The 20831-nt window shown below is 37.9% G+C and overlaps 1 long non-coding RNA gene and 1 other non-coding gene across 2 annotated transcripts in view; both read left to right on the top strand.

Annotated features, from left to right (window-relative positions):
* PROX1-AS1 (PROX1 antisense RNA 1) overlaps window positions 1-20831 on the top strand; it is a 166513-nt gene that overhangs the window by 25541 nt on the left and 120141 nt on the right. The gene's annotated exons all lie outside the window — the stretch shown is intronic.
* On the top strand, window positions 18738-18934 carry LOC124904651 (U2 spliceosomal RNA). The gene has a single exon (XR_007067159.1). It is a non-coding gene; the product is annotated as a U2 spliceosomal RNA (small nuclear RNA).

The following is a 20831-nucleotide window of genomic DNA, read 5'->3' as shown; positions in this document are numbered from 1 at the left end:
ACAATTGTGCTTGTGGTAAGAATGATGGTAGAGTGACTCAGACTTATTGGCAACCATCAAAACAATGAAAGATGTGGATCATGTCATTAATTGATCTTCTTATCATTATGAAATGGTGACCATATCCAGCTAAAGAGCTCTGTGCACATAATGGCACAATTATGGGGGATGTGATGAGGTAAGAGCTGCTAGTGTCCAACATTTAGCCTCTTGTTTCCATTCCCACCCACCCTGATCTCTGGCTATATTTAGTTGCTTTACACAGTGTTATCTAGCTCAAAGTCTATTCTACAAAATTAAAGGAAGAGAGAGAAGAGTGAGAGTCTTCATAGAAAGATCAGGCTCCCCAAAGTCTGTTTTCTCTGGTTCCCCACGTTCCTTCTTGGTTAATATGTTTTCTTCTCCTTTGTCCCTAGGATCATGGCTGAAATGCAATCGTGAGTTTACTTTGTGGAAAGGGAAGTAGGGCACTGAGCAATCATCTAATGAATACGGTCAAGATGGTTAGTGAATTTGGAAAATTCCACTCTCAAAAAAATTACTTTCTCTATTCTGTAGCAGATTTCCTCTTGGCCTTAATTACCCACAGAGTTGTCTAATTTTCTGATAGTCTTTACTGTTGTTGACATCACCTAAATAATTTATTTAATGGATTTCACTGGGTTCATTTGGGAACCCTTTATTCTAAGTGGCTTTCTTTTATCAATCCATTTACTTATTCAATAAATATTGAACACTGTTTCAGTTATCTATTGTTGTGTAATAAGCTACCCTAAATCTAGTGACTTAAGGAAACAATTTATTACTATCACTCATGGTTCTTGGGACTGATGGACTCCGGTGGGCAGTTCTTGTCTCTCGTTTGGTTGTAGTCAGATTGTAGCTGAGACTGGAGCCATCTAAAGGTTTCTTCACTCATATGTCTGGCATTGGGCTAGTCAGGAATCTCTCTCTCTCCCTCTCTCCACATGGTTAGCAAAGCTTTTTGGTCTCTTGGTAATCAGGCTTTTCTCTTGTGACAGATTTCCTCAAAGCAAGTGTTCTAAGAAATCCAGGTGGAAGTTGCAAAAATTCTTAAACCTAACCTTGCAAGTCATACAGATCACTTCTTCCCTCTTGTATATGCCAAAGCAATCATGGGGGAACCCAGGATCCAGTAGTTGGACAAATAGATTCGGTCTCACAAGAGGGGAATAATTTGTGTATTCAACTAGGGAAAGAATTGATGTGTTCATCTTAATGAGAAGCTGCCACAAGCACCCACTGTGTGGCAGACACTATGCTATGTGCTGGTACAACATGTTGACAAAATGGGCACAATCCCCTTGGTTTGTGGAGGTTAAAATCTAGTTTAATTAGCTTTGACTTGACAGTTTTCACGACCAACTCTGTGCAATACATTTCAATATTAAGTCTATTTAGTTATGAAATGTGCAAAACATCTATTCTGGTCACTTGTGGTTTGGTCATTTTGACTTTTTCAATAACCAAACTGAATGAAATTTGTGGGTATGTGATCTGTAACTTGATGATCACCTTGATGAGCTGATTCATTCATGAATTCTTTTTTTAATGCATTCTTTAAAACACAGTCTGAGCAAAACTGGGGTGTTCACCTCTTGCTTAACAAGCATGTTGAGTTCCTGATGTGCATGGGGGCTGAAACTGAATTCGTTGACTCATAACAGGGAATATAAAATAAATTGAAAAGTCAGATTTTGCCCCGGATGAGCTTCCATTCTTGTTAGCAGTTTGGGTGGTATGCAGGTGGAGCAGCTTGTGACAATGACAAAGAAAAAGTGAACCCAGACAGTGCATGATAAACTAGACAGGTGGTATCAGTTTCCTTCCTAAGAATTATCTTTTGGAGAGAAGTAATTGATTATTTGCCTCCACTTTCTTCTCTCTTGTGCCATAAACAGAAAGTGATCTAGGTTTGTTAAGTAAAAGGAGATTTCAGGACAGGAATGTTGACAGAAGAATTGGTGGTGTTCAGCAAATCTCAGGTCTTATCGTTTCTGGCATAGGTTATGTCCATTCAGTGGTACAACTATGAGGGGCTGGGGGAGGAGGCTCATGATGACACAAGAGATACCTTGACATTTCAGAAACAAAGGTCAAAGCTTGAACAGGTCCAAGAGCATGCACAATTCTTGTGCACACATGTCAAGTTCCCGACATGAGGTTAGTATTATGTTGTGCCTTCTTATGTTGGTATCTTTATGTTGTCTTACACAGCATAAAAAGAAATTATGGGATATTTTAAGCAAAACAACAACAACAATATGAATGTTGCCTTACTTACCTGGATGTTTCAAGCAAAACTAAAATTTGGCTTGCCATACCAATTGTCCTTTATCAATCCATAACTTTAATTTCATAGCTCATACTTCATCCGTATGGGTCCTTTTCTCACATTAGTGAAACCCGTTTCCCCAGGGTGTGATTTGCTACATTAAACTTCTTTTCATTCATCACGCCAATTTATTTTTCTGAAATATTTGCCCCCCGTTTTTCCCTGGAAATTTATAATAATCAGATTTTAATTATATCCCACTCTTTTTTCTGCCAGCACATACTTGTTCGATATGTTTTATGCTATATTATTTTGTGCTTGCTGATATATCACTTCATAATTTTTCATGGGCATGTGATTTGCCCAACTAGATGGTAAACTGAATGGCAGGAGCTTCTCTATACATACAAATTTACATGTATGTGTTTACATATATAGATGCATGTGTAGTATATGTACCCAAACATACATAAGAAACACTTCTCAACAGCTGATCAGCTCTTTCCACTCCACTTTCCTTTTGTTTTCATAAGTTAGAGTCAAGTAGGCTATTTTGCAGTTACCTGGTGAATTGGATCAACGCATATGTCTGATGGATAATTCAGACTTTAAAAAAAAATTTTCAACTTCATATCCACTAAGATGAAAATAAGCTAGAGTATTGCTCATCTTTTCCCCTGGGAAAATTGTTTTCATAAATTCATGAAAAATGTAAGTACTTGAGCTAAGCAAGTGCTTGTGATTGATTATTTGGGACAAAAATGATTTTTTAATTGAATTAATGAAAGTCTTTATCTAACTCATCAACTCAGAAAAATTTCCTACCCAACATGTTAACCTTACCTTTTCTAACCAATTTGCTGTTCTTAAAACCTTTTTGTTTACTAAGTTTGCTTAAACCTTTGTATTTACTAACTTTGCTGCTGCCACTGTATATGCAGGTATGTACATTGATGAGGAGCTTCCCAACTTGTCCAAGATCAGGGCCACCAGGAAACATTTTCAATCCTCCAAATATCGTGAATTATTTTGGCATCCCTGACATCACATGAAAACAAAATAAAGCTTTCTTCTCATAATTAGACATATACTTAAAATGCAGATACTCCTGGAAGCCTCATTATAATGATGGGTCCTTATTCACAGATGATGATATTGACTACTAGCAGATATTTTCTTGAAAACAGGTTTTTGATTAGGCCAAAGTGGTGATTGGATTTGGGAGAATGACAGCTCACTGCATTTCTTAAAGCAGGGGGCTCAGATTTAGGGTATCTATAACTCATGAAGATTTCAAAATGATCCATTGGTGTGCAGAAAGAAGATATTTAACCTTCTATTTATTTCAATGTTTTATTTCATCTTAAATTTAGATTTTTTTGGTGCATGTGTTTTTGATGCATAGAATAGAGTAATACATATGTAATTTATAAATGAGAATACATAGGATGGACATGTTCAAAAATTTTTACCACATGTGATCTAAAAATTTAGAAACCATTGCTTTCCAAAGGTGAATTGAACATGAATAAGGGCTTCATGATGCTATGGGGAGGAACGGGAAATGATTACGGAACAAGTGTTTGTAATCTCGGAATTCTGACTCTGGTTACTACTAGTTCCAGTTATTTGATCAATAGGGAGTTCACTAACTCTTAATCTGACGCCAGGACAGTCCCTTTTAAGATGTGAAGAAATTGCTCAATGTTAGGATGTTGACCGAAGAAAGTAGATTTCAATCATGCTTTTTTTTTTTTTTTTCATTTTGTTTTCTCAAGGGTCCCATGGGAACAGAAAGTTTTGAGGGAGTTTACTGTTTGTGCAAGATGACTGGTTGGGTAAAGAAGTCCAAAGTTTTTTATCTGCAGAACAAATAAAACCTGGGCAAAGGTAACTTAAATGAACGTCTCCCACCTTGTCCCTTTTGCATGTCTAAGGTGATGTTTGTGCCGATGGTTGCACAATGGAGAACCTAATCTATTCACGTCAAATGGAGAGGAGGTGCATTTTAGAGTCCTCATGACTAAAAAGAGTCAGTGACCTTTATTCTTCTTACTTTGACAGGCAATTATTTGATGATAATGCCTATATAAAAATCATTTAAAATGAAAAATATATTTGTTGATGAATTATTGCCAAATACCCAGGTATTGTTTGTCAGACAGCCTCTGGGTGGCTGAGTTAGAGTTTTTCCTCTTTCTCCAAAGATAGACACACACAGCTCTAAGGAAGTATTAAAATAAATTTATAAATTCATGGTTACTCGGGACATTTGTTGTTGCTGGTTAATGACAACAAGGACAACTGGATTGTCCTTATGATTACTCCACAGCAATTACTAAAAAATATTCTGAATAAACAAGCATTCTGAAAATGTGAATCACAGTGTGGGGCTCAACTTGTGTTTTAAAAGATAAATTTCTATGTATAAATATTGACAAGAGAGTGGGATACGACTGAATTGTTGAGGTTAAGCATTTATTATGGGGAAAAAATTAAAATGCTTTGGAGCTCAGTGATCCTTACTGACCAGATATTTACTTAACCATTCTTTTCATTTTGACTCTTTGTTATTGTTGTTTCTGTAGGAACTTAGGTTTATAAGCCCCATTAAAGGGGCATTTTATATAGGATAGTCAAAAGGATGATAATGAATGAGCCAGCAGCCAATTATGGATAGAAACTAAGTAAATTACACAGCTGACTTCTCATTTTTAAATTAGTTGCTATAGAGTTTTACAAACTTTCCCCGAGACATTTATCATCCAACAATTTTTCCTCAAGGAAATATTTAGAAAAGGGTTTAGACATTAAGAACAAAGTGGTAAAAGTGAGACCCTCGGCCTTTTTTGGATATTTGAAAAAAAATTCTAATGGGACTGAAATTGTGAGGTGGGAAATCCACAGGGAATTGTGTTTGTCTATGTGAGTATGTATGGATATATGTATAATATAGAACAGGGGTCCCCAACCCCTGGTCTGTGATCTGGTAGGATCTGGGCCACACAGCAAGTGGTGAGTGGCGGGCCAGCAAGTAAAGCTTCATCTGTATTTTCAGCCGTTCCCCATCACTGGCATTACCACCTAAGCTCTGCCTCCTGTCAGATCAGTGGTGGCATTAGATTCTCATAGGTGCTCAAACCCTTTCATGAACTGTGTATGTGAGGAATCTAAGTTGCATGCTCCTTATGAGAAGCTAACGCCTGATGATTATCACTGTCTCCCATCATCTCCAGATGGGACCGTCTAGTTGCAGGAAAACAAGCTCAGGGCTCCCACTGATTCTACATTATGGTGAGTTGTATAATTATTTCATTATATATTACAATGTAATAATAATAAAGTGCACAATAACTCTAATGTGCTTGAATCATCCTGAAACCATCCCCCCACCCCGGTCTGTGGAAAAACAGTCTTCCACGAAACCAGTCCCTGGTGCCAAAAAGGTTGGGGATTGCTGGTATAGATAACAACTAAAATAAATGTCCAGATTATCTGAATAATTGCAACATTTACTGGTATAATTGTTTAAAATTTAAAAGAAAAAACTGAAATTTTCCAGTATGGAAAAGATAAATTCCAGTTTCTAAGCTTAAGCCTGCTATGACCTGTGGCTTGGAATTTCATGTGTGAGCAGCTATTCAAGTAGAATAACTAATTGTAGTAAAAACTTAGGTTAATTAGTTGGAAGCACTTCTACTATAGACTGTGAGCCACTGAACCAACCTGTAAATGGGGATGAACTCTTTCAAGGTCCAGGGTAGACTATGATCTTTCTGAGATTACAAATTTGTAGTTTTTCCTGAAAAAAAAAAAAATCTTTGGAGTTTCCATCAAGCTCTAGGATTCTACTAGCCAGGTATCCAGGGTTTGAAACATTGTGTGTATGAATAATCTGCCCTGATCTAAAAGGAGCTACTTTCTGAGGAAGGTTATTGGCTGTGGGGAGATGTGAGTGTTGAGAGACAGAGTGAACTGCATGAGTGGAGATGGTAGAAGAGTCTGTGATTCAAAAATGGGTTTTGAAACTTCTGGAGCCTATTAGATTAGTCAGTTAATAGTTGTGAAAAACGATGGGTGTATACCCAGGATCACTAAGTCACTCGAGTGAAGAAGATTACAGAATGGAAGAAAAAAGAGAGAGAGAGAAGGAAAGAGAGGAGAGAGACAGAGCCATAGCATGCATGAGGTGTGCGGCTGGCGGGCCTCATGCTCCAGCGCCTGGATTTCCAATCTGGCACTCAGCTTGATGAGTCTGTTTATTCAGCTCCAGTATCAGACGTTCCCTTTTCCTGCCTGAAGAAGTCCCCTTTGAAGAACGGCTCTGCTGGGGAGCAGTTTCCCCTTGGATGGGCTACTCCTGTTTGCAGTCCTAAAGGAAAAGATCTGGAAATACCACAAGAATGTTCTTTAAAACGATATTCCAGCGCCACGTGAGGGGAGGATGAAATAGCTGTAAAAGATGTATTTCCTGGTTGAGGTATTTTTTTCCCCTCTCAAGTGAATTTGGCGGTGAACAAAGGTGTCACATGAATGCGATTGGGGTCATATGTTCTTGGGTGCCTCCAGATCTGTGTGGGCAGGTGGAGGCTGGGGGTGGGAGGGTACTTCAAGCTTCTGTAGGCCTGGAGAGAGAGAGAGACAGAGAGAGAGACAGAGACAGAGAGAGAGAGCATGAGAGAGAGAGCATGAGAGAGAGAGACATAGGGAATTCCAGTAACCTAGTCTTGCATGTCTTTATCTGTAAAGGAATCAGTGGTGGTGACTTATCAGAGGACCAGCCTATACTTTCAAAGCAAAGCCACAATGAAACACTATCTAGAGAATTGAGGCACAATGTTCATAATCAAACTGGATATTTCCAAGATTGACTAATGTACTTTGGGTTTGATATTAATTTCTTGTACTTCAGGGACGTGTTTTACTTTTTTTTTTTTTTTTTTTGAGTCAGAGTTTCACTCTTGTTGCTCAGGCTGGAGTGCATTGGAGCAATCTCAGCTCACCGCAACCTCTGCCTCCTGGATTCAAGTGATTCTCCGGCCTCAGCCTCCTGAGTAGCTGGGATTACAGGCATGTGCCACCGCACCCAGCTAATTTTTTTTTGTTTTTAGTAGAGACGGGGTTTCTCCATATTGATCATGCTGGTCTCCAATTCCTCAGGTGATCCGCCTGCCTTGGCCTCCCAAAGTGTTAGGATTACAGGCGTGAGCCACTGCACATGGCCATGTTTTACTTTTTCAAAAGAGTTTTTCATCTTGTGAAGTAGCTGGAGTAGATGCTAATCTCCTGAATTTTCCTCTTTGGAAAAGGATGTGGCTAAAGAAAGAGAGATGGTTTCCTAGCCTGTTATTGGTAGGGCAGAACGGCAACCCAGGCCTCTTGTTTCTTGGACCAGGTCTCCTTTCTCTGTGTTCTTGAACCTGTACAAAGGGACAGTGGGAGTTTCAGAAAAAAGGAAGGTGACATTCTCTATCTCCTCCCAGGCATGTAGAAGGTTACTGTGACTTTGAAGCCACAGCTTTGCTGTGCCCAAATACTCTCTCGGGGACTAGCCGTAGGGAGGAGATTCAAAGTGGACCCTTCAGAGGGTGAGTCTCATGTTCTAGTTGCTGTGACTGCCCAGGTCTGTGGTTGGTTTGCTCAGTTTGCACCTAGGCCTCAGAAAACAGTAGTTCTCCGGTATGAAAAGGGTTCTTTGTTCAATATCAGAGATGAACCTTTTGAGTGAGAGAGATGCCACTTCACGGTGAGGCCTGGTTTTTCATGAGAGAGGATGGGATCCACACTCTCTCTCTGATTCCTGGCTGAGACTTCTAGGACTCACATTGGCTCTTGAGGTCTAGGAGCGAGGTTCATGCATAAGGGACCAGAAAGCACTGACAGTGTGTACTTTAGGAATAAGAGTGAACCAGAATTTCCTTTTCGGGAATATGAAGCCTCTTCTAGGTTCTGGTTCAAGGGGGAAACTAGAAGAGGTGTTACTCATTGGCTGCTTTTCTGCTTTGACACACAGAGCCTTACATTTTATCATTTCTGGATATTTGTCGTCTCTCTACATGTAGAGCCGGAGTTGTTTGACATTTGAGCAGTATCTTGTAATTATTTGTATCCTCTAAGGCTTCCTAGTACTTAAACTATCTGATGAATGAATAGGAATCAATTTTCAGCCAATCCCTTATCCCAGTGTCTCTCAGCCTGTAGTTCGAATAGGCCTCAGGCCTGGGAAACAGCCATGTGTACTTTGAAATGAAACCCGAGATGAATCTCATGTGCACCGAAGTTTGAGAACTGCTGTTTTATCCTTTTCTCCCTTGGCTTTAAGAACTTATTGTGACTTTGAATAATGCACAAACACAATCTCAGGTTTGTGTAATGTTTTATGACTCTTGTAAGGCTTATTTCACATGTTTGTCTAATTTAATCCTGATTTAATGAGGCTAATTTAATAACAGGCCTATGATGTGAGTTCTTTTTCCACCCATTGTACAGAGGCTGAGGCAGAGGAATGATATTTTTTCGATCCTGTTTGTGGCAGTATTTGCCAATTTGTGGCAGAGTCTGTACTCATCCCACCTTCTGAGTCCAGGGATGGTGTTCTTTCCCCTACAACCCCTGTGGCTCTATAGCTCTTTCAGGCATAGCTGTTCTTTGTGTGGAAGTGTTATTATTCCTGATAATGCTTGCTGTCCACATAGCTGGGGCTAGTTACCATGATATATATGTGAAACCAGCAGAAGCTAACACAGTCTGTATTCCTAATGAAGTCTATAGTAGGATAAGTGGATAAGACCATGAATGAAGTGTTCTTTCATGCAAATATTAGAGTACAACATTTTTGTTCGTTATCGGATTGGAAAAGCACAACTGGGAACTGGGGCTAGGTGAAAGTTCTTTCAGAGAAGGACAGCCTGTTTGGTGATGTGTGATTTAAATTGTGCTCCCCTGACTTTTATTTCCATCTTGTTTTACTGGGAATAATGGAGAAAGAATGGGAAGTGAGCTGAGACCCTTGAACTTGCTCTGCAACCTGTAGTCCCAGTAGGGTTAGCTCTATTGAGGCTCACTGTTTTAGATGTCTGTGAGGTTCACAGCTAGAGCCAAACAGGACTCCTGAGGAAGTAGCGTAGACCTGTGGAATGCTGTAAAGGTGGCTAGTCTCCCTTAATTCAAAAGATCAGAATGCTCAAACGTTCACTTGATGTTCAAGGGAACATGTAGCCATGCTTTCAGTGGCAATTTAATGGTTGCCAGAGTATTCTAAACAGGACTTTCTGGATGGCTGTTTATGCTTTTATTAATTGCAAAGTACAGACAGCCATCAGAAACTGAGACTTGTCAACTGAAAGAGAAGGTGGGCTTGAAACTTCTGCTGGTACCCAATTCTCTTCCACTTAGCTGAGAAAGGACCTCTTCTTTAATCATGGAGTAATGGATGATTGATATGACTGTACCCTGATTAGAAAAGGTTTCATTTTACTTGTGCATGGTACATGGAATTAGTTAAGGGTTGCATAGGAAAAGAAGTGATGGACTATTGTTCACATTAAATGATAATGACAGCCTTCCTAACCACTGTGTATTTATTATGTAAGAAAAGAAAATGTCTGGTAAAATTCTGTATAGGTTAATAACACCTTCATAATATACTCCTTCTTTTCTATTGACTTGAATAGCCCTCCTACTGACTTTTAATGGATTATTAGAGTTAATTACATCAATTGCAATATAATTGAGTCTTAAATACTATGTAGAAACCTCATACAATTATGGAAAAACAAAAGTTATCTAGACATCTCAAATCAAAAAAGATTTGGAATTCCTGCACATTTAATTTCTGATAATCACTAGTCAGTTTGGACATTAAGATTGCATGGTGTCTTGTTTTCTATTTGGTAGGTTTTGACAGAATTGATAGTTTTACAACATTTAACTCAATATGCATAGAAATATAAGATTAAAGCTGTGAGTGCACATTTTTTTTTTTCTAAAAAAAGATCACTCCATGGCTTAAAAGCTGAAATGTGTTACCTGCCTAACATTGACAGAAACAAACTCAAGGGAAAATCAAAAGTAGATTTGATGTTGACTTTTAGAAATCTCTTCTCTGCTGGTGTAAAGATTCCTGTGGGTCTTAGGATTTGTTACCTGGGGGCTTTAAAATATGACAAGGGGATGAATTGTGTAAAGGGGCCAAAAAAAAAAACCCTCCCATTTTATTACCTAGATATAGGCTATGTGTTCTTATGTCAAAACCACTGGTTGAAAAGTGAAACATCATTAATATCTGGTTTCTGATGTCATATAGATGAAAATAAATCCCTGTAATGGAGTTATCGGAATGCAATCTTTTTTTTTTAAACTGATTTTGAAAAACCAGTTTATGGATATTGACACTTGTAAGTGTGAGTTTTATTTGATGTAGTAGACAAGTCACAAGGATGAGAATCAGCAGACCTGATGTTTTCTGTCTACTTGGCTCAGTGACTTGAAATGTCTGGGTCTCAAACGTTCTTTTTTTGTAAAATAAGAGAGACACTCTAACTTCTCTGCCTTGACTCTCCTGCCTTTTTACTCTTAGTGCTCTTATTTTCTACAGTAACTCATTTGATTCCTCATATAAGCTGCCTTGTATCAATATGCATTAATCAATATGCCTTATATATCATATATATATATATATATGTCTTATTTTCTTAACTAGGTTGTAAGTTTTCGAGGACAAAGATAATGCCACATGTATCTCTGTATTCTCATAACAGATACTAGAGTTTTCTAACATAGAATAGGCTACTGTTTGGTGGATTGAACAGTCAATCAAAAGGAAGTGTTTCCATTTGTATCCCCTGAAAGTTTTGACATAACAAAAATAATGACAGTATACCCTATTTATTATAATAGTTTAATTTGTAAAAGCATTGTAAAATGTATGATTTTATTTTATGAAACATTGATTGTGCTTTAAATCAGACGAATTTAAGATGTAACATTTCACTCAGTTTCTTATCAACTGAAATGCAATGGGGTTTTTAATAGAACGTAAGCAGCCTATTCTAAAGTTCATTTGGGCCGGGCTGTGGCTCACGCCTGTAATTCTAGCACTTTTGGGAGGCTGAGGCGGGTGGATCACTTGAGGTCAGGAGTTCAAGACCAACCTGGCCAACAAGGTGAAACCCCATCTCTACTAAAAAAAAAAAAAAAAAAAAAAAATTATCCGAAATTGCTTGAACCCGGGAGGCGGAGGTTGCAGTGAGCCAAGATTGTGCCACTGCATTCTATCCTGGGCAACACAGTGAGACTCCATTTCAAAAAAAAAAAAAAAAAGAAAATTCATTTGGAAGGGAAACAAATGACAGTAGTCATAAAAAAAAAAACAGTTTGAGAGAAGACTCGCCTAGTAGTCATCAAACAAACTACACATCCTAAGAAATCTAATACATAAGTGTTGTGCTAGAAAAATCAACTAATCAAAAGGGCTAGAGTCCAGAAGCAGAACTAAGAATATAGAGGAATTTAACAGATAATATGGAGGCATTTCAAATGAGTGGCTAAATGGAGACTGTTCAGTAAATGGTATTGTGACAACTGGCTCTCCATCTGGACTCATACTATACACAAAAGTAAATTCCAGATGGAATAAAGCTCTAAACATAAAAATCAAATCTATACCAGTATCAGAATGAAATATAAATTAATAAAAAATAACCCTAGGTTAGGAGGTCTTTGTAAACAAGGTGAGAAATCCAGAGGCCATTAAGGAAAACCTGACAGATTTGACTTCATAAAAAAAAAGTTAAAGAAGAAGTGACAGATTGGGACAAAACATTTGAATTATACATGACAGAAAAAAGGGTTACTATCTATTATTCAAAGAATGCCTTCAAGTTAATGAGAAAAATATAACTAACACTTAAAAAATGGGCAAAAAGTATAAAATATGTCATTCTCAGAAGAAATCCAAATGTCTAGCAAACATTTGAAAAATATGCTCAACCTCAATGGTAAAAGACATGTAAAATTTAAAAGAGTATATGTTGCCATTTTGTACCTATCTGGTTGGCAAAAAATTAAGGGAGTTGACTGGATATATCAATTAAAATGAATGAATATACTGTATAAACTGTCAAGGACAGATGTCAGTAACATGTTGTTAGGTGAAAAGGCAAGTTGTAGAACATTGCACATTATGTTATGTCATTTTGGAATACTTTTTTAAAAACTAGTATATAAAATATATTTTAACAAGTGTTTATGCATTATAAACATAATATAGCAGTTATCTCTTGGGATGCTGTTAGGATAAGTAGAACTCTATTCTTTGGATTACTTTTCAGCTGGAAAACATTCTCTTATTATGCTTTATTTTACACTCATCAAGCTTTATAATTGATCTTTAGGAGGTAGTTACAAGTCATTAGTTCAGAGGATTTAGCTGAATCAAGTATTGTATGAATACAGTGTAGCATTTTATGGACTATCAGTCAATTCTGATCAAATTCTTCAAATCACCTTGTCGAATTGGGTGAATTAAATAGGGTTCTGTCCCTAAACTGTGGCTTCAGTCAGATCTTATCTTCAGTCTTTTAGGTTCCCAAGGTTTGTGCAAGGGCTATCATGCATCCGCCTCCTCTGTCAGCTGTCCTTATTCCATATGACATCCAGGCGCACTCCTCACCCTGAGTGTTATATGAATCCCGACATCCCGGAATCCAGGCCCTCAGCAGGGTTAAACAAGTCAATGTAAATACAGTCTTGTGATTCATTTGAACTTGCTTTCAAGTTGCTTGTTAACAGGGAGTTAACAAGTTCAGACCTTTGGTCAGATGGGTCTTTAAGGAAAGCTTTTTTCCCCATTCCAATGACTTCCTGTTCATGGGAAAATGAGAGGAAATGAACCTCTAACAGGAGGATGGACCCACCCTTTTCCAGTCGTGTGGCTAATTTGTCAGGTGTAATATTGGCACCTGGTGGCTTGTGTTGGCTTCCTGCCCACCCTTGGTGGGGAAGTATCCAAATACTTGTAACAGGCGGTGGAAGACTTCAAAGCCATTTGTAAAAGAAAAGGATATTGTCATTAAAGAACTCAATGGTGAATACTCCCAATCATTTAGTGATGTCAAGATAAAAGGAAAAATTTAAAAACACATTATCTGGAGTTTTTTCTGATGTATCATATGACCTGTTAAAACAAAGCAATGTAGTTGATTTGGTGATAATAAATGTTCAAATATATAAAAACAATATATATTTATTGATTATTTAGTGTTCTTGTTTTTGCAAAATTAGCACAGGTATCAATTATTTATAAGATGATTATGAGTTATTTCTTTAAGTATATAATCCTTCTTTCTTAAATTCACTTTTCAATAGGTACTCTCTTTGTGCCTGATAATGGAACTGTTTCCTTTGAATCAAAACAAAATAACTACAATAATATTGAGTGGTTCAATAAATGAAAAGGGATGATATGGATCGTCAGAATTCATTAGGAATTTTGGCTGGAAACACCTAGTTTAGTTCTATACCTCTCAATTTTCAGCTAAAGATAGTTACTGCCTTTTGAACAATGGTATAGTTAATAGTCCAGCAATTCAAAGTAGATCAGTCCATAAATGAGGATTAATTGAACTATAAGCAGTGGTCATTAAACCATAATAAATTCTGCAGAACAATGGAACTTCCTTCAGTTTTTGTAATTAATATAAGCTATATAGACTTAGTGTGTCTAAAACTCTCATGGCAGAGTCAACAGTCATGGGTACGGATAAAAAGATTAGTCTATTAAAACATACATTCATAGTGTCATCATCTGTAAACCTCAATCAGCGAACTGTTTCTATCAAATGATCCATGAATATTTATTGAATTTTTTTTGCCTAACATAGTATCAGACAAATTTAATAAATTATTAACTGAATAGATATTTGTTGAATAACTGCTCTCTTGAAGGCTATATCACTGGATTTGATCTGGCAGAGACTGGATGACTTTCACAGGGAACAGCAAGGATGAATTGCATAGGATTTCCTCAATCTTAAGAGTTGATGGCAAAGTGGTTCCAGTTTTCAAAGACCTTAGAATAGTTTATTATCTACCTGACTGGCAAGCTTGAAACACATAAATAATTAGAATTAATACATTGTATACACTAAACTGTCAATGGGATTAGGACTTGGGCAAAGAAGAGATCAGTGTTGATCAAAATAATCTTGGAGGAAGAGGTTAGTTAGCTGAATCTTGAGAATGAATAGTATTTAGACAAACAAAAAGGGAAATAGTGGATATTCTAAGTGGGTGGGAACTGGGAATGAGTGTAGAGTCAGGGAGGGTCTTGGGGAGGTCCAGATGACTACAGCATTGGTTTCAGGTTCCTGCATGGCAGGAAATAAGGTAGATGGGTTGGATGGCAATAATATGAAAGGTCTCATAAGCTTAGCAGAGGAACTTCCAGGTTTTTGAAGGGTAGGGGTAGGGTAGTGTGATTTAAGTAGTCATTTAGGAAGATTTTTCTGGCAGTTTGACTACAACAGGGAAAGGGTGTAGTGGGGAGATTTGTTAGACTCTTGTGGGAAACAGAGTGAAAAGACAGCCATAGATGGTGATGGTAGAAAAAGAGAAAGATAAATGAATTCAAGAGACATTTCGAAGGAAGGAAGGATGGGGTTAGGTGGCATTGGATATAGGGGTTGGGGAAGGAAAAATAAGTCAAAGATAACTCCAAAATTTCTACCCTAGAAGCCTGGATGGTTAATAATGCCACTGGCCACTTGATGAAGGAAAATGGTGAGTTTTTTTGTAGACAAATTAAATCTAGGTTCAATTGGGATATCTTGTGGAGCTATCTTATAAGTAACTAAAAACATGGGATTAGAGAGTAGCTAAGGGGCCAGAAAAAGACATAAAGAATTAATGATGAACAGTTACTCATTGCCCATAAATCAAATTTCATAGTTGGATTTTCAAGGCTGCTGTCATCTAGTCTCATACTGCTTATTCAACTCATCTTCAGCTACCCCATAGTCTGTCTTCCTCCTTCTGGGTCAGCTAGTTAGCAATTACGCTTTTCTTCACCTTGTGACGAAATCCTTGCTGTTTTTCTTGCCTGGAATTCTCTTCCTAGATCTCTAGTTATTAATATCTCCCCAAGCTTTAGGACCAGCACAGGTCCCTCTCACACCATGAAAATGTTCCTCAAAAATTCTAGTCCACAGTCTTCTCTCTCTGTTTCGAACATCTGTGGCATTTAGAGGTTGCGTTTGTATAAGCATTCACTCCTATGCAAGTCTATGTTGTTTAATTAGGTCAAACATAAATGTCTACCTTGTTTTGTCAGAAAACTATAAATGCCTTGAGGGTAAGGATCAATGTTCCTCTTGCATCAGTTAGGAATTATATTTGACTGTCAAGAACAGAGGGTCCTAATCAGAGGCTTAAAAATCAAGGGTTTTATTTTTATCATATTGTGAGATGTATGGAGGCAGGTAATCCCAAGCTGATTGATGTGGCAAATCTTGGTAAGAGCAGAGACTCACTCAGCCTCTCCCCACCTTCTCATTTAGCCCTCCTTAGCATGGATTTGTCACTTCAAAATCACAATCTGGCCGATCCTCTTCAAGCACAGCATCTGTGCAATAGACAGAGAAAAGTGGGAAGGCAAGGGGCAAACGGGGCTTGCAGACTGAATCAGCCTGGCTTTTTAACGTGCTGCCCTAGAAGCTCCATACCATGATTTCTGCTCACCTTTCATGGGTCAGCAGTTAGATATAGAGCCACCCCTATTTGCAAACAACGCTCCAAATATTTTCAGTTTGACATATTGCTATTCAACAAAGTCTGCATTATTTTAGTAAAGAGAAGGGCTATTGGTAACTAGAAGGCAACTAGTTGTCTATGATCTCTGTCCTTCTATGTATATCTCTTCAAACATGCATATATACATATGGATGTATACACATATAAACTTTTATTCAGATACCTACATGTATAACATTATATGTTATATATGCATATATTTTTATATTTAGAAAGACAGACAGAAACAGAGGGACAGAGATTATGCTTTATCTCTATCCCAGTATCTGTATCTCTCTATTTGAATAATAATAATATATATAATTTATATATACATATATATGGAGAGAGATTATGCTATATTACTCTCTTCATCTGAGCAAATCAAATAAAGATTACAATAAAAATAACCTGATATTTTAAATACTATGCTGATTACCATGCCTGTCATAGACACAATGGAGATATTTTTTCATAAGTAACTATTGCTTTCTTTACAGAATTAAACCAAGTATTTTTTCCTTATTGTCATAGAAGCTTTGATTGGTTTCCTATATTTGGCATTACTGTTTTTTTGTTTGTTTGTTTGTTTGTTGTTTTGAAACAAGGTCTCACTTGGTCACCCAGGATGGAGTGCAGTGGTGCGATCACAATTCACTATAGCTTCAAAGTCTCAGGCTCCAGTGATCCTCCCACCTCAGCCTCCTGACTAGCTAGGACTACAGGCACACACCACCACGACTGGTTAATTTTTCTTTTTCTTTTCTTTTTTTTTTTAGAGATGAGGTTTTGCCATGTCACCCAGGCTGGTCTCAAACCCCTGAGCTCAAGCCACCCTATCGCCTTGGCCTCCCAAAGTGCTGGGATTACAGCAGTGAGCCACTGCCCCTGGCTCAGCATTACTGTTGGCAGGAATCTCTGAAAACATTTATGCCTCACATTTCTTAGAAGTTAAAAGTACTGAATTAGTGATTAATGTCTGCATTTTAGGTTTCCCCCTTTGCTCCCTTCTATCTCTTTGATTTAACCAGGTGTCCTCAAACTATGTTTGTGACACATTTTTGAATCTTAGCATTATTATCAGCACATATGAAAAGATGAAAAGACTTTAGAGTAAAACCAGAGAAAAGACGTCGGAGTATTGTTTGATAACTCCACACAATGATAGCCTTTTAACACAGTCTCACAGAGCCGGTAGAAGCGTCCCCCTAGAAGAGTCCCCCAATATTGGGTCTTTTACTTTGTCACTGTATACTCTCTTATGTACTCCCAAGGAAGTGAGTTGATCAGTTTATGAGCAAAGCTATGATTAGGACTCAGGTCACTTAACTCCAGGCTCAAAGCTCTTCCTACTACATTATTCATGACAACAACAACAGCAGCACTTTACATCTGTGCAGAACCGCACAGACTGCCTCACCGATCATGCACTAGAGACAGAATGAATATTATTGAGCCCTTTTGATAAGGAAACATTATACAAAACTCATGGCAGGTAGTGGAAGAGCAGCTATTAGGATGTTCTTTCACACTCATTGGTCATTGTAGGGGCTTCCCCTGATAGATTACACATATCCTTGGGCCTGTTAACCAGGCCAACAGATCAGAATGCCCCAATCTGAATCCCTTGGATTAATCTGTTGGGATAAGGTGACATTTGCTTGCAGGGCCATTTCCTAGCCACTCTTCGTATTATTTAGTCTTCCTATTATTACATTAGTCTTAGCCAATGTAATTGTGTCTTGGTAGTGAAACAACCAAACCAATAAGAAAAAGAAAAATCTGCTATATCCCCTTGCTACACATCATTGCCTTCAATATGGCACTTGCACTTCTAATTTTCCAAGACAACATTATCACTTAGGGTTTAGGCACATCTTAATCTGCGGACTGATGGAGTGTGTGGCAGGCATTTTCACACTAGGACCATATGTGATATAATCACCTAAGCATTGCAAAGGAGATAGGTAGAGGGTCTATTGCATATCTATTAAGAAGATGACAGTGCTTAGGATAATAAGAGTGGTAGCCTGGATGGATGGCGGTGAAATAGTTAAAGACAATCAACATTAATTGGAACTTCCTTGTTTGTTTTCTTTTGAAACTTTAAAGTTATCCAAATGGAGTGTTAATTTAAGAAAAAAAAAGAAATGTTTTCTTGGGAGAAGACAATATTTTGAAATGTTTTTAATTTACAAGAGCCTGTTTCGTTCAGTTTCCCATTGCTGCGTGAGGTTGAACAAATGTTAGCTGCAACAAATTAATTAAGTTTGCAGAAAGTAGCAGCAGGGGATTGGAAACTTGAAGTGGAAGTGAGCATTTTGACTGTAAACATGTTGCCTGCCTGAGAGACTATATCTGGATTGAGTGGTTGTGGAGTTATCCAAAGAAATGCAGTATATCTGGGAAAGTACGTCTTGGCAGGGAGAAAAAATAACAATGTCTCTTGCTGGCAAATCTATTCATTTATTTCCTGGGATCATCTCATGTGTTTTGTTTGATTCTGGCCACACACTATTATTCTGCTCTCCTCTCTGCAAATGAAGGTGGTGCTACAGACTTGCCCTCAGAAGGAAAGGAACTAATATTTATCTGTGCCAGCCTCTTTATATATGCCATTTCTTTCTGAGGGTAGATATAATTTTCTTATTTTATCACTTCTTGGCCTTTTGGTGAAGACCAAGTGTAGTATCTGTTTTTATCAGTTTAATTTTCTTATTTTACAGACAAGGAAACTAAGACTCAGAGAATTTAGGAACTCACTCATAATCAGTTTAGAGGCAAAGAGATTGGAATTTGAACCCCAAATCATCTGATACTAGAGCTTTTTGAGCTACACCAGGATGCTTTCTCATGGTTACGGTGGGGGAAGGGCTGCAGGGATCCCTGGCAGCTTCTTGCCTGGTTTCCCTTATGCTTGGGGGAAAGGGAAAGGCCTGGGGCCATGGAATATGGAAAGATGATCCTCCGATTTGAAGGTGATCAGTGGATTATACCTTGAGAAAAAATGGATTAGAGAGATTTCTCAACAAGATACCTGAACTAGGGCCCTTGTAGGCTTCTGGCTATGTTGGACTAGTCATACTCCTTCTCTTAGGAATTTGAACCCAGACATAATACCAAATGAGAGGAGAGGATTTATGGCAGAAATGAAACCTGAATGAACCATGATACAGAGTGTCCAGGGCAGCCATAATGGACTCTGAGAGATCTGAGGTTGTGAGTAGAACAACCATGACTAATCAAAGGAAGGCTTTTCTTGAGAGAGGAAGCAAGAGCAGAGACACAGAGAGAAGAAAGGTCATGGCAAGTTGAGATAGAGTCAACCCCAAGTCCTTAGAGCTGTTTCAGCAACCAAGGTCTTTGTGTTCCAGTCATGATGCAAGGCATGTTGATCTTGCCATTACAAGCTTACCCCTTCAGTTTCATCATTTTGCTTTCTGCACTGCCAACACTAGACATTATTACTCTATAAAGACAGGCTTGTGCCAGAAATTTTTTAAGAATGCAATAGACCAATTCTTAATTCACACTGAATAGACCACTAGATACTACAAAATTTTTAGAATATCAGAGAAGAATTGCACACAATTTTCTTAGAGATTAAATAAGACTTAAGTACAGACATCATCTTTTATTAAGTTTTTAATAGATGTTACTGGTAAAAATGATCAATACAAAATAAAAATTACAATATCTGAAAGTACAAACTGTACTTGGTAAAATGTAGTACAGTCTAAAACTTGTCTGAAGAATGTAATCTTCTTGACTAAGTTTAGATATGCAAAATTCGAAGGTGTAAAATTAAACTTGGTCACAGATGAAAATTCTATGGTCACACATGAAAACTCACAATGGCAGATGCTATGAATGATGGAATTTCATATGGTCAAAGATACTGATCAATAAACCACATCTTGGTTGTAAATATACATGGTGAAAAATTGAACTAGATGAAAATCATGTTAGTAAAATAAGAATGAAATGCAAAAATACCAGGAAAAGCCTGACTATTCTATATAGAAAATTATTTGTGGAATTAATTTATAATAATGGGTGCTTGTGTGTTTCTGAGTAGAAGGTTGAGGCAAGTTGTTGATTTCTGCTGTAATAACTAGAAAAATTGGATAAATTAAGAAAATTATATTTTTAAAGACATAGGAGATGTAGGAAGCAAAAAGTTACAGATAAGTTAAAATTCCAGAGAGATGCCCCCTTCACAGATGAGCTGAGGTCACTGACCATTTTCTTCCCTAGGGACTATTGCAAGTGCGCTCACAGACTGTGGATTGGTCAGGCTTGGCTAGGCCAAGGGACTCTACCAGGAAAAGACAAACCTGCAGAGGATGCTGATAAGCTGGGATCTGGGGGATTTTAAAGGTCTTAGCCAATTTCCCAAAGGACCTTTGCTGAGTGCTGGGGCCTGGGGGAAGGGATGCTAAGAGACTAGGAGGCTGGGCTGGAAAGCCGAGTCAAGTGTCTCACTCTCTCACTGCCTCAAAGCACTTGGAAAATCCTTGAGACGAATAGCTACAACAAACACACAACTGTCCTTGAGATTTTTGAAAGCAGAGGTGAACTAAGTCTAGCTGAAGCTGCAATCTAGCTCTAAGCCAGTTCAATTTCTGATTGGATGGAGGTGATTGAGAGATAGTCCCTCTCCCTATCTGTTTTTCAAAGGAAAGCACAAATGCTCTGGGGGAAATAACAAAGACAGCCGTCTCGAAGATTATTTTACACATGATGT

This window comes from Homo sapiens, chromosome 1 (genome assembly GCF_000001405.40).
Source record: "Homo sapiens chromosome 1, GRCh38.p14 Primary Assembly".
Classification (NCBI taxonomy): Eukaryota; Metazoa; Chordata; class Mammalia; order Primates; family Hominidae; genus Homo; species Homo sapiens.
This window is presented reverse-complemented; position numbering and strand designations above follow the sequence as displayed.